The sequence below is a fragment of the Homo sapiens genome, chromosome 2 (assembly GCF_000001405.40).
Source record: "Homo sapiens chromosome 2, GRCh38.p14 Primary Assembly".
In the NCBI taxonomy this organism is placed as follows: Eukaryota; Metazoa; Chordata; class Mammalia; order Primates; family Hominidae; genus Homo; species Homo sapiens.
Window position 1 is genome coordinate 153,585,250 of NC_000002.12, and position 15,343 is coordinate 153,600,592.

The window sequence follows — 15,343 nt, forward strand, 5'->3', positions numbered from 1 at the left end:
TCTGAGACAGAAAAATTCTTTGAAGGAAATACAAATACATTTTAAAGCCTCAACAACGGATTTGACCAAGGAGAAGAAAGAATTTCAGAACTTGAAGACAGATCTTTTAAAATAATTCAGTTAGACAAAAGTAAAGCAAACATAAAAAAGAATAAACAAAGCCTTTGAGACATTTTGAACTATGTTGGTTGAACACACTCATGAATTATTTGTATTTCCTGGGTGTGAAGAGAGGTTAAAAGGTTTAGAAAACCTATTTAACAAAATAATAGATGAAAACTTTTAACATATACGAAAAGATGTAGACATCTACATACAGGGAGCTCAATGATCCCCAGGCAAATATAATGTAAAAAACGAGTTTGCCGCAGTATATCATAATCAGACTGTCTGAAGTCAAATTGAAAGAATGAATTCTAGAATCACAAGAGGAAACTGCTCGGTCATCTATAAAGGAAACTCCTTCATACTACCAGTGAACTCTTCAGCAGGAACTATACAGACTAGAAGAGTAAGGGAGGATATATTCAAAGTACTGACAGAAAAAAAAACAGGCAAGGATTCTGGTTTCGGCAAGATTAAGTATCATAAATAAAGGAGAAATATTAAGTATCATAAAGGAGAAATATTAAGTATCATAAATAAAGAAGAAATAAAGCCTTTCTCAGATGAGAAAATGTCAAGGGAATTCATCACCAGTAGACTGACCTGATAAGAAATAGTCAAAGGAGTCCTAAACTTGGAAGCAAAAGAATGATATTCACCATCATGAAAACATAAGAAAGTATAAAACTCACTGGTAAAGAAGTCACACAAAGGAGGAAGAGAAAGGAATCAAATGACACCACTACAGACTTCCATAAAACCACAAAGACAGAGAAAAAGGAAGACAATTCACAAAACAACTAGAAAAAAGTTAACAATATTACAGGAACAAAATCTCACACATCAATATTCACCTTGAATATAAATGGATTAAATGCATCACTTAAAAGATATAAATTGATTGAATGGGTAAAAGACCATGATCCAAATATATGCAGCTTACAAGAAACTGATCTTGTCTATAAAGACACATATAGATTGAAAGTAAAGGGGTGGAGATATTCCACACAAATGGAAACTGAAAGTTAGCAGGAATAGCTATACTTATATCAGATAAAATCGACTTTAAGTTAAAAACAGTAAAAAGAAAGACAAAGAAGGTCATTATGTAATGATGAAGGGATTAATTCAGCAATTCTGAACACATATGCAGCCAACACTAGAGCACACAGATTTGCAAACAAATATTACTAGACCTAAAGAGAGAGAGAGACAGAGGAATACAATAATATTTGGAGACTTCAACACCCCAATCACAGCATTAGATCATCTAGACAGAAAATTAACCAAGAAGCATTAAACTTCAATTTAACTTCAGACCAAATGGGCCTTACAGATATTTACAGAACTTTCTACCCAACAACTACAGAATATACACTTTTCTCATCAGTGCATGAAATATTCCTTAAGACTGACCATATGTCTGGCCATAAAACAAGTCTCAGTACATTTTTTAGAATCAAAATTTTATGAAATATCTTCTCAGACCACAGTAAAATAAAACTAGAAATCAATAGCAAGAGGAACTTTGGAAATTGTACCAATACATGGAAATTAACCTGCTCCTGAATGATCATTGGGTCAATAAAGAAATTGGCTGGGCACAGTGGCTCAAGCCTGTAATATTAACAATTTGGGAGTCTGAGGCAGATGGATCATTTGAGGTCAGGAGTTTGAGACCAGCCTGGCCAATGTGGTAAAACCCCATCTCTACTAAAAATACAAAAAAATTAGCTAGGTGTAGTGGCACACACCTGTAATCCCAGCTACTCCGGAGGCCTAGACACAAGAGTCGCATGAGCCTGGGAGGCAGAGGTTGCAGTGAGCCAGATTGCACCACAGCACTCCAGCTTGGGTGACAGACTGAGACTCTGTCTCAAAAAAAAAAAAAAAATTAACACAGAAATTAAAAAATAAATAAATAAAATGGGGACAAAACATACCAAAACTTGGATATAGCAAAAGCAGTGCTAAGAGGGAAGTTTGCACTAAAGGCTGTATGTGTCTGTTCTCACACCACTGATAAAAACATACCTGATATTGGGCAATTTACAAAAGAAAGAGGTTTAATAGACTCACAGTTCAACATGGCTGGAGCAGCCTCACAATCATGGCAGAAGGCAAAGAGGAGCAAGTCATGTCTTACATGGATGGCAGCAGGCAAAGAGAGAGAACTTGTGCAGGGGAACCCCTCTTTATAAAGGCATCAGATCTCATGAGACTTATTCACTATCACAAGAACAGCATGGAAAAGACCTTCCTCCATGATTCAGTTACCTCCCACCAGGTCCCACCAACAACATGTAGGAATTCAAGATGAGATTTGGGTAGGGACACAGCCAAACCATATCATTCCACTGCTGGCCCCTCCCATATCTCATGTCTTCACATTTAAAAACAAACCATGCCTTCTCAACAGTCCCCTAAAGTCTTAACTCATTTCAGCATTAACTCAAAAGTCCACAGTCCAAAGTCTCATCTGAGACAAGGCAAGTCTCTTCTGCCTATGAGCCTGTAAAATCAAAAGCAAGTTAGTAACTTCGTAGATACAATGGGGGTACAGGCATTGGATAAATACAGCCATTCCAAATGGGAGAAATTGGCCAAAACAAAGGGGCTACAGGCCCCATGCAAGTCTGAAATCCAGTGGGGCAGTCAAATCTTAAAGCTCCAAAATGATCTCCTTTGACTCCATGTCTCACATCCAGGTCATGCTGATGCAAAAGATGGTTCTCATGGTCTTGGACAGCTCTGCCCCTGTGGCTTTTCAGGGTACAGCCTCCCTCCCAGCTGCTTTCATGGGCTGGCATTGAGTGTCTGTGGTTTTTCCAGGCAAAGGGTAAAAGATGTCAGTGAATCTACTGTTCTGGAGTCTGGAGGATGGTGGCCTTCTTTTCACAGCTCCACTAGGCAGTGCCCCAGTAAATACTCTGTGTGGGGTCTCTGACCCTGCATTTTCCTTCTGCACTGCCCTAGCAGAGGTTCTCCATGAGGGCACCGCCCCTGCAGCAAACTCCTGCCTGGGCATCCAGACATTTCCATACATCTTCTGAAATCCAGCAGAGATTCCCAAACCCCAATTTTTAACTTCTGGGCACTCACAGGTTCAACACCACATGCAAGCTGCCAAAACTTGGGGCTTGCATCCTCTGAAGCCATGGCCCAAGCTCTACTTTGCCCCTTTAAGCCACAGCTGGAGTGGCTGGGATGCAGGGCACCCTGAGTCTGGCCCACAAAACCATTATTTCCTCCTAGGCCTCCAGGCCTGTGATTGGAGGAGCTGCCTTGAAGCTGCCCTGGAGACATTGTCCCTATTGTCTTGGGGATTAACATTTGGCTCCTTGTTGCTTGTGCATAGTTTTGCAGCTGGCTTGAATTTCTCCTCAGAAAATAGGATTTTCTTTTCTATTGCATTGTCAGGCTGCAAATTTTCTGAACTTTTATGCTGTGCTTCCCTTATAAAACTGAATGCCTTTAACAGCACCTATGTCACTCCTTGAATGATTTGCTGCTTAGAAATTTCTTCTGCAGGCTGGGGCATGGTGGCTAACGCCTGTAATCCAGCACTTTGGGAGGCCAAGGCAGGTGGATCACCTGATGTTGGGAGTTTGAGACCAGCCTGACCAACATGGAGAAACCCCATCTCTACTAAAAATACAAAATTAGCCATGCCTGTAATCCCCGCTACTCGGGAGGCTGAGGCAGGAGAATCGATTGAACTCGGGAGCTGAGATCATGCCATTGCACTCCAGCCTGGGCAGCAAGCGCAAAACTTTGTCTCAAAAAAAAAAGAAAAGAAAAGAAATTTCTTCTGCTGGATACACTAAATCACCTCTCTCAAGTTCAAAATTCCACAAATCTCGAGGGCAGGGGCAAAATGCCGCCAGTCTCTTTGCTAAAACATGAACAGAGTTACCTTTGCTTCAGTTCCCAACAAGTTCTTCCTCTCCATCTGAGACCACCTCATCCTGGCTTTCATTGTCCATGTCATTATCAGCAGCATTCTGGTCAAAGCCATGTAACAAGTCTTTAGGGAGTTCCAAACTTTCCCACATTTTCTGTCTTCTTCTGAGCCCTCCAAACTGTTCCAACCTCTGCCCTTTACCCAGTTCCAATGTTGCTTCCACATTTTTGGGTATCTTTTCAGCAGTGCCCCACTCTACTGGTACCAATTTACTTTATTAGTCTGTTCTCATGCTGCTGATAAAGACATATCCAAGTCTGGGCAATTTACAAAAGAAAGAGTTTTAATGGACTTACAATTCCACATGGCTGAGAGACGCCTCACAATCATGGAAGAAGGCAAGGAGGAGCAAGTCATATTTTACATGAATGGCCACAAGCAAACAGAGACAACTTAAGCAGGGGAACTCTGCTTTATAAAAGCATCACATTTTGTGAGACTTATTCACTATCACGAGAACAGCACGGGAAAGATTTGCCCCCATGATTCATTTACCTCCCACCAGATCCTCCCACACAATACATGAGAATTCAAGATGAGCAAGATGAGATTTGTGTGGGAATACAGCCAAACCATATCAAAGGCCTTCATCAAAAAGCAGAAAAATTAAAAGTCAACAACATAATGTACCCAAAAGAACTAGAAAAGCAAGAGCAAATCAAATCCAAAATTAGTAGAAGAAAATAATAAGATCAGAGCACAACTAGAGACCAAAAAATACAAAAAGCCAAATAAAATAAAGGTAGTTTTTTAAAAGATAAATGAAATTGATAAATGGTTAGCTAGAGTAACCAAGAAAAGACCCAAATAATTACAATGAGAAATAAAAAGGAGGCATTACAATTGTTATTTTGGTTATAGAAAACATTATCAGAGACTATTATGAACATATATACACTTATAAACTAGAAAACTTAGAGGAAATGGATAAATTTCTGGGAACATACAACCTCTCAAGATTGAATCAAAAGTAAATAGAAAATTATAAGAGACTGATAGCAAATAGTGAGATTGAATTAGTAATAAATCTCCCAACAAAGTAAAGTTCATGACCAGATGGATTTACAGCCAAATTCTACCAAATATACAAAGGAGAACTAATACAAATCCTCTTGAGACTGCTCCAAGAAATCAAGGAAGAGAGAATTCTCTCTAATTCAATGAGGCCAGTATTACACTGATACCAAAACCAGACAAGGACAGAAAAACAACAACAAAAACTACAGACCAATATACTGATGAACCTATATGCAAACATTCTCAACAAAATACTGAAAACCAAATTCAACAAAACATTTTAAAAAACACAATAAAGTAAGTTTTATACAGCAATGCAAGGGTGGTTAAACATATGCAAATCAATAAATTTGGTACATACATCAACAGAATGAAGGACAAACCCATGTAATCATCTCAATAGAAGCAAAAAAGTATTTGATAAAATTCAACATCTCTTTGTGATAAACCCTCAGCAAACCAGATATAGAAGGATTGTGTCTCAAAGTAATAATTGCCATATATGACAAACCCACAGCCAATATAACACTGAATGGAGAAATGTTGAAAACATTCCCTTTAGAAACTGGAATGAGATAAGGATGCTAATTTTCACCACTCCTATTCAACATTGTACTAGAAGTCTTAGCCAGAGAAATCAGGTAAGGAAAAGAAAAAAAGTCATCCAAATTGGAAAAGAGAAGGTCAGATTATTCTTGTTTGCTGATGGTACAATCTTATGTCTAGAATAACCTTATAATTCCACCACGAAAACTCTTAGATTTGATCACTGAATTCAATAAAGTTGCAGGATAAAAATTGACATATAGAAATCAGTCATGTTTCTATATACCAGTAACCTAGCTGACAAGATCAAGAAATCAATCACATTTACAACAGCTACAAAAAAATTACCTAGGAATATATTTAACCAAGGAGATAAAAAACCTCTAAGAGGACAATTACAAAACATTGATGAAAGAAATAGTAGGTGACACAAATCGAAAAACATCCCAAACTCATGAGTCAGAAGAGTTAATATCATTAAAATGACCATAACATCCAAAGTAATCTATAGCTTCAATTCAGTCCCTATCAAAATACCATAATTTCCCTCAGAATTAGAAAAATAGAATTGTAACATTTATATGGAACCAAAAAGGACTCCAAATAGCCAAAAGAATTCTAAGCAAGAAAAAGTTGGAGGCATTGCATTACCTGACTTCAAGTTAGATTACAAAGCTACAGTAACCAAAACAGCATGGTACTATTATAAAATAAACACATATATCAACAGAACAAAATAAATTGTCATGGGGGAAGAATAAAGCTATATCTATATCTCTCACCATATACAAAAATCAACACAATATGGATTAGAGACTTAAATGTAAGACCCCAAACTGTAAAAACACTGGAAGTAAACACAGGGAAAACTCTTCTGGACATTAGGCAAAAAATTTATGATGAAGATTTCAAAAGCACAGGCAATAAAAATAAAAACAGACAAATGGGACTTAAATAAACTAAAAAACTTCTGCAAAGCAAAAGAAATAATCAACAGGGTAAATAGATAACCTGCAGAATGAGATAAAATATTTGCAAACTGTTCCCAAGATGAGGGACGAATATCCAGAATTTACAAGAAACTCAAACAACTCAATAACAACAAAAAATAATAGCCTTAGAAAGTGGGCAAAGGACATGAACAGAATTTTTTCAAAAGCAAACTGACAAATGGTTAACAGATTATATATATATATATATAAAATGCTCAAGATTACTAATTACTAGAGTAAAGCAAATTAAAACTACAATGAGATATCGTCTTACAACAGTCAGAATGGCTAGCATTAAAGTCAAGAAACAACAGATGTTGGTGAGGATGCAGTGAAAAGGGAACTCTCATATATTGTTGGTAGGAATGTGAATTAGTACAATCTCTCTGGAAGACAGTATAGAGATTTCTCAAAGAACAAAAAAATGTAACTGTAACTCAATCCAGCAATTTCACTACTTGTCTTCTACTCAAAAGAAAATAAATCAGTATATCAAAATGATACTTGCAGTGGAATGTCTATCACAGCACTATTCACAGTAGGAAAGATATGAAATCAATGAAATCAACCTAAGTGTCTATCATTGTATGATTTGATAAAGAAAATGTGGCATATACCCACTATGGATTACTATTCAGCCATAAAAGAATGAAATTATGTCTTTTGCAGCACCATGAGTAGAACTGGAGGTCATTATTTTAAGTGAAACAAGCCAGACACAGAAAGACAAATATCCTATGTTCTCACTCATAAATGGGTGCTAAAAAATGTACACACATTGATGTAAAGAGTGGAATTATAGACAATGGATAAGGACCCACAGACCCTCTGAAGGAAATGGACTTTTCCTGAAGGACCTGGGAGAGACCCCAAATACTGCGAGTGCCCCAACTGCAGAAGTGGGAAAGGGAGACCCTCCTCTCCGGAACACACACCCCCAGTGGAGAAACTTAAAGCCTGTTTGCGAGAGAAGCTTCTGACCTTACCTTGAGATGAGTCAATTTAGAGAGCCGGGTGAAATACAGGGGTAGAAGAAGCAGCAGAAAGGCCCTGGGAACTCGCTGGGTCCCCAAACAGTTCATTCCTGCCTGGCATCACAAAGATCCGTCAGGAGGGAAGCCAGAGGAGCAGGGGATAAAGCGCCACAGGAAGAAGGAAATCTCTAGGTGAACTTTGTAACAATTTGAACTGGGTGAGAACAGGGTGAGAAACCTCATGGCCAGAACTCGGGGGAGGGGGCAAATCCCAGTGTGCAGACTTCACAGCCCTTTTCTTTTGCAGCTGGGAGGTGGGTAGCCTGAGGCAAGTTCTCAAGCCCATCTCGCTCACCATCTGTAAACAGACTTGGGGCTGTTGGGGGTACCCAGTGAGAGTGAGACCAGCCCTTCGGTTTGCGGTTTGCGTGAGAGCAGAGTGAGGCCTGTGACTGCTGGCTTTCTCCACTTCCCTGACAACCTGCATGACTCAGCAGAAGCAGCCATAATCCTCCTAGGTACACAACTCCAGTGAGCTGGGAATCTCACCCCCATCCCCCACAGCAGCCACAGCAAGACCCATTCAAGTAGCGTGTGAGCTCAGACACACCTAGCCCTGCCCCAACCTGATGGTCCTTCCCTACCCACTCTGGTAGTGAAAGACAAAGGGCAACAATCTTAATAATCCTGTTGCTTTTGTTGAGATTCTTTGCCAAGTACTTCCTATCTCAACAAACTTGTTCATTTGCCATCTTTGTAAACAATCTCTACATGGTGGAATGAGGTGTAGGGGTTTAGGAAAGATGGTATCAGGGTGGTGGGAAAGAGACTAGAGGAATCACATCTCTTTTTCTTACAGCACAAATTCCTTAAAAAATTATGCTTCAGTGCTTTAATGTTCAATGTTCCACACCAAATGTTTACATTAAAATGTAACATAAAATATCACTGGACTTGATAAACCACTGACCCATTTTCTGGTGGTATAAGAACTCTCTTAGGAGCTAGTGGCCTTTCTGCTTCTTTGAAATCTTGTACAGAGAGTAATGTTCCAGAAGTCAATGAAGACTGAAGCTCCATGAAAAGGGCTTCTTTTTAACTCAATAACTTGCCGTAAAATAATCTGACCCACATTGACAATATGCATCATAGATATTCTATACTTGGTAATTATCCAGTAATGACAGGCAATTTACATTAATTAGGGTAATTATTATTAATTTTATAAAGTCAAACCTAACTTTTTGTTTACCTTTTCTTTGGTAATTTTCTGAAATCTAAAAGTCAAATGAATGTGAAAAACATTTCCCCTGAATGTTTATGTATTTTACTTTCCTCATGCTCTCTTATATACACAGCTGCTGGATATTAATTCCCATTATAAGCCACAATTTTGCTCACAGCACTCTTCTAAAACTGTTCTAATAAAGGTTACCAATGACTAAAAATAACCAAAGAAGGTTTACATTTTGATTAAAAATTCTAGGGCTTAATTATCATTTATATAACATTTGCCTTGGGTGACTGTACTTGGCTTTTGGAAACATTTTTTCTCGACTTGTCTTCCACGATACTATCTTCTGAGTTTCTTCCTAGTTCTGATTATGTTTTCTAATCATGATCTCCCTTTCACTTGCCTTTAAGTGATCATATTGCACAGAAATCTTTCAATTATCCTCATTTTTTTTGTAATCTTATCTCTTCTAATAAATTCAACTTGCACCTATATGCTGAAACTCTAATACCTTTACCTTTCAGTTGTGATATTTCTTCCTAACTGCAGACCTATATTTCCTTTTGAACATATCAAGTATATGATGAAGGTAAATATATTTGTTCAAAACTTATCTCATTATCTGCTTTTACTCAAGCGGGTCCCCTGACTGTTTTTCTAAGTACAAATTGTAAACACAATAGTTTTACAAGTTAAAAGCAACATAAAATGTAATCTTTCATTATCCATTTTGCTAATCGCTTCTGCCGTCATCTAGCTAAAACAAATACATTCTCAAGCATTAAAAATCTCAAGTATATAGCACTTATGAGTCCTTGGAAAATAAAACTATTTGACTACAAATTTCAGCCAACCAATAAGCAGATCAAAATTACAGTCTCAGGAATGATGAAGCTATGTGAAAGAATACTAAAATTCAATCTAAATCTAAGTAATTACAAAAATAAATCTTGGATCCATAAGAAATACAACTGACATAATTCTAGACAAAATATAAAATGTTAATATATTGTGGCATGGAGGGAGTGAAAAAATAGGAGAAAATGTACTTTTTTTGTAGTATTTAAATATTTTAGAGTTGGTAATAAATAAAGGTTTACTTATATGATTTGAAGTGTTAATAGTATCCATTACAAAATCAAAAGAAGAAAATAAAACTTCAATGTAATTTGATGGGGAAAAAAAATCACACTCAAAGTAGATAATAGAGACCACGTGCCAAATAATAGGAAAAAAATGAAGATTAAAAATTAAAAAAATGAAATGACCAAATTTAAATGTTTGTTTATAACAATAAATGTAAAGAAGATATCTATTAAAATAAAAAGGCACTCAGTTTGTATAATAAAACAAAATTTTATGTTATATAAAAAACTCAGATATAAAATTATTTCAATATAAGGAAGATCTTTAAAAATTTGTTAAATCTTTATATTGATTCCTTATTTCATAAAGCCATTAAATTCTAATTAAAATAAGAATGAATGGAAATTTTCCTACAGTGATTTTTATAATAAAACCCAACTATACGATATAAAAAGATTCATCAGAAATAAAATTATTACAAAATGAGCTAGATGCTTTAAAAATTTGTTAAACTTTAATATCTATCCCTTATTTTTAAAAAGTCCATTGAAAAACTCTAAGTAAAATATGAACAGATGAAAATTGTCCTACCATGATTTTGTTTAAAATCAGATGAACCACTAGAATCATTTTCATTTAAGTCAGCCATAAAACATGTGCCCAATATTGCCTCTGTAGTTTAATCTTGTTCTGAGTGTACCAAACAATATATTTAGACATGCAACTAAAATAAGTGGTATAAATATTTAATGGCTTAAAACAACACATTTCTTATTATATTTTGTGATTCTGAGTGGCTCAGCTGAGTGGTTCTTGCATGCATTTCTTCACCCAGGTAAGATTAGTTCTTGGGTGGGTATATGACCATCTGAAGGCTCAGCTGGGCTGATCATTTAAGATGGCTTACTCACAAGGCTGGCAGTTGAAGCTGACCATTGGCTGGAAGCCTAGCTGTGGCTAACAGCCAGAGAGCTTCCATCTCAGATTTCATAGGCTTCTCACAGTATGGTGATTGAGTTCTGAGAGGGAGTGTTCCAAATCACAGAGGTAGAAGCTGCTAAGCCAAATAAGGTGTCTATGCCCATAACCAACACAGTTTCATTTTGTTACATTCTTTTGATGAAATCAGTCAGAGAGCCTAGCCAGCATCAGGAAGTGGAGACAAAAACTCCACTTCTTAATGCAGACAACTTAATAAAGACACCTCACAGAATAACCTGTTATATAGAGATGTTTTCTGCAGCTTCCTTTGAAAACACAATCTATTACTCTTAGTAATAAGCCTAGCATGACATTTGCAACATCGAAATTAGAAAATTTTGGAGACCATGCCGAAGATCACCAAAAAAGTCTTTAAATGGAAAGATTTAAGTGGAAAGATATTTTCCTTAGATAGGAAAATTATTATAAACATGGCAATAGTTTCTAAATTAATCTTTAACCTCAATTTAATCTCTCTGTTTAATTAAAATAACATGTTTTTAACATGACAGGATTAGTTTAAAGTTCATGTAGAAAAATATGCACATAATGCTGGAAAACTCTAAAAGGAAAAAAACTGAGAATAAAATCAGTAATTAAAATGATTAACATATATACACATATGTATATATGTGTGTACATATGCATGCAAATAAAGACTCATCAGTGGGAAAATAATAACATTCTATTTCAGAATTTTAGGATATATTGAAATCTAATTATTTCAAAGCAGTAATTAAAATATGCTTTTGAACAAATTATGTAGGAAGACTAAAAAACAAATTGGGGTACAAATTTTAAATATCTGTTATATGGAAAACACCCATAAACAAAATCCAATGACAAACAGAAAAATGAGAAAAATATTGCTATGCACAGGACAAAAATCTAAATTTTAGAAAAATTCAAAGAATTCTTTTCTCATTTCTATTCTACAACAGTTTTTTTACAAAAGGTTTCTAGGCTTCTACTCTGGCCTCCTTTGCTTTTCCCGATAACAGACTGCCTACATAATTTTCAGGCACAGTGCAAAATGAAAATGTGGGCTTTTTATTAATAAATTATTTTGTATTTCAGTACGGTCACAGCAGAGCATTAAGCCTAGTACAGGGCACTTCTAAGCGTAGGGCTCAGAGCAACTGCACAGATCACACAAGCATGAAGCTGATCCTGTCCCACAATATCTTTTAAAAGTATAAATCATCTGACAAGTGTGTCATGACATTAAATGGTTGAAAGCATGATCTTTTCAACAAATGGTACTGGACAACTGGATACCCACATGCAAAAAAAATAAAGTTAGACACTTGCCTTACATCTTTAAAAAAATTCACTCAAAATGAATTCTAGAACTAAATGAAGGGCTAAAGCTGGAAAATTCTTAGAAGGAAACAGAGGAGTAAATCTTCATGAGCTTGAGTTAGAGAATGTTTTCTTAGATATGATACCAAAAGCACAAACAGCAAAAAAATAAATAAATTAGACTTTATCATAATTAAGAAAAATTATGCTGCAAATGATACTATCAAGAAAGTAAAAAGACAGAATGGGAGAAAATGTTTGCAAATCATATATATGATAAGCACCTTGTATCCAGGATATATGTTCTTATAGCTCAGTAATAAAAAGACAACCCAATTTCAAAATGAGCAACTCTAAAAAAGTAATGGCCAATAGGCACATGGAAAGATGCTTAACACATTATTCATTAGGGAAATTCAAATTAAATAATGAGATATAACTTTATATCCACTAAGGTGGCTATAATAAAAAAAGATGATAGCAAGCATTGGCAAGGCTGTGGAAAAATTAGAACCCTCATATACTACTGGTATAAATGTAAAGTGGTACACCTACTTTAGAAAAACAGCTCCACAGTTCTTAAAATGTTAAATATAGAGTTTATAAATATGAAGTATAAAACTGTTAAATACCAGTACCCGTGCATGTGTGTGTATGTAAACCCAAAACAGATCATACCACTCTTGTGCTCAAAGCCCTCTAATGGCTTCCTATTGCACTTTGCATAAAATTCAAACTTTCCTTCTGTAAATTTTAGTATGACCAGATATCTGCCTAATTTCTCCAGTCCCATCTCCTACTATTCTCCTTCTGGATCTGCTACTGCAGCTACTCTGACATCCTTGTTTTCCCTGAAGGCAGCAAGTTCTTTCCTGCCTCAGGGCCTTTGTACTTACATTTCCCCTTCTTCAAAAAGCTTTTACCCAGATCTTTGCATGGCTCTGTCTCTCCCTTCATTCAGGTGGGTCTCTTCTTCAATTATCATCCTATCTAAAGCAAACTCCTGTCTTACTCTTCTCCTGCTTTATTTTTTCTCATTGCACTTTTCACTACATGATGCTAAATGTTCTATTTTTATTTATATGATAGCTGCATTTCCACTAAAGGCAGTTTCATGAAGGCAAAGATTTTGTCTGCCTCATCCACTGCTAACAATATCTACAGCTCCTGCAACAGTGCCTGGCACATTGTAAGTACACAGTACTACTGACTGAATCAGAGTAAAATCAATTTTTATAAGTTTTTAAGAAAAAAGACAAACTATACAATAATACTTTATTCCTGAGTTATGTCATTATGAGAATATTAGTAATAGCTGTTTAAATTTCTTTGTTTTTAAATAGGCTGTGAGGACTCCAAGGGCAGAAAGAGGGTTTTATTCAATGATTTACCCTCTGTGAGTGGCACATTGTGATATCTGAAAAATTCTTTCAGTTGAAGGCAGGAAACTTTCATAGCCAGATTTATAAAGTCACTATTCTCTATCCAATGGCTCAGTTTTGTGTCTTCCTTTTTGTTTTTCCATACCCATTTCCCTTCTAAACATGTCTTTTTGAATAGTACTGTCAGTAGCCTGTAGGAAACTCAATCTTCCATGGTATTCGTTCTTAAAACTTAAAGGCAGCAAAAGCAGTGAGGCTTGAATCAATAGCAACTATAATAATATTCTAGCAAATAGTAATTGACTGCATGCTGTGCATCTGGCAGAGTGTAAAGCTTCAAAATTTTTTTCCAGGCTAATTGGGATATCCATTATCTTAAATTAATTATTTATCTCTTTATGGTAGCAACATTTGAATTTTTCTCTTCTAGCTATCTCAAAATGTATACTAGGTTAATGTTAGCTATAGTTACCCTACTGATCTAATGAAAACAGGTCTTATTTCTTCTATCTAACTGTATAATTGTACCCATTAATCAATCTCTCTTCATCCTTCCCTCCCTGTTTCCTTTCTTGGTCTTTGGTAAGCACCATTCTGCTGTGTATCTTCCTGAGATCCATGTTTTTAGCAGCCACTTATGAGGGAGAACAATCACTTTGTATGGGGTAAGTGCAAATTTTGTCCATTGTACTGCTTGGCCCAAGAGGGTATATTTAGTAGATGGTAAGGCTGGGATTTGAACCCAAGGTCAGACCTTATAACTAGTAGTCTCTCAGGCCTTATAGCTGTTTCACCACATTCATTACTACATTTTGAGACGATAAAGAGCAAGACACAACTCCCCAAGAGACACCTGGATATAATCAGGGAAGGGTTTGGAGTAGCTGGACATATTATCATAATATATAGTATTTACATTATTGTGATTCTGTTGTTTTTAGTTCCTAGACTGGTGTATCTGAAAAAACATAATTTATGCATCTCCTTGTTATCATTCCATAAATCACATGTAAATAAATTCTTGAGTAGGATATTTTCCCCCTCTTCTCAGAGCTGACACTAAACCACCAAAGCTGTGTCAAGAACTTCCACATTATCAAGATGGCTGATGGGTATGACTCCACCAGCCTTAATAAGGCAGCAGAACTGACTTCATGCAAACATTCATCTTTCCTCATCTTCACTCTACTGCCATCCAAATCTCCCGAGGCAGAGAGGATTAGAGAAACTCTGCCCTAGTTACTAAAAAATATATTTACCTTTCAGCTAACTCTGGAAGACCAGAACCATAGAGGCCAGGGGGCAGAGCTGAGGTGTGTCATCCATTTGCTTAGTTCATGCCGTGTACATGCAGCCTCTGTTTGTCATTTCTCCCATTTATTTTTGTCTATCTTGGATTAACTGTTGAGTAAAACATTTCTTATTTCATGCTATCCAAAAATGGTATTTTATTTTTCAAATATAACATGCAATTTTATTTTTTTTTCAAAACCCAACTCTACCTTTTGCACCTAAGTTAGCTGAAAAATTATTCATTTTGCTTTTTGTAAATATCTAAATATATCAATTAGCACTTTTGTTGCAAACATCAGAAAATCCAACTGGAATGGATGTAGGCTTAAAAGGAAGTGTTTGGCTTATATAACTCAATATGACAGGTATAGTGCCAGACTGAGAGAGGGCATGATCTACATACTTATGCAAGAGTTCATTTTCCAACTCCTGGGTCTGCACTAGTGCATTTGTGCTTCGTTTCTATG

At 36.1% G+C, this 15,343-nt stretch overlaps 1 protein-coding gene across 5 annotated transcripts in view, besides 2 other annotated features; it reads left to right on the forward strand.

Annotated features, from left to right (window-relative positions):
• The window catches only part of GALNT13 (polypeptide N-acetylgalactosaminyltransferase 13), a 1,388,282-nt gene that overhangs the window by 516,957 nt on the left and 855,982 nt on the right, over positions 1–15,343 (forward strand). The window lies entirely within an intron of this gene.
• Positions 7,287–8,486: an enhancer, noted in NCBI's record as "BRD4-independent group 4 enhancer chr2:154449049-154450248 (GRCh37/hg19 assembly coordinates)". NCBI's record gives its function as "activates an origin of replication core promoter dependent on BRD2, P300/CBP, MED14 and CDK7 cofactors, and independent of BRD4, by STARR-seq in HCT116 cells {active_cell/tissue: HCT116}" and the evidence as "EXISTENCE:reporter gene assay evidence [ECO:0000049][PMID:35650434]".
• Positions 7,359–7,948: an enhancer, noted in NCBI's record as "H3K27ac-H3K4me1 hESC enhancer chr2:154449121-154449710 (GRCh37/hg19 assembly coordinates)". NCBI's record gives its function as "activates a minimal SCP1, AML or CMV promoter by ChIP-STARR-seq in primed H9 embryonic stem cells {active_cell/tissue: H9 hESC(primed)}" and the evidence as "EXISTENCE:reporter gene assay evidence [ECO:0000049][PMID:30033119]".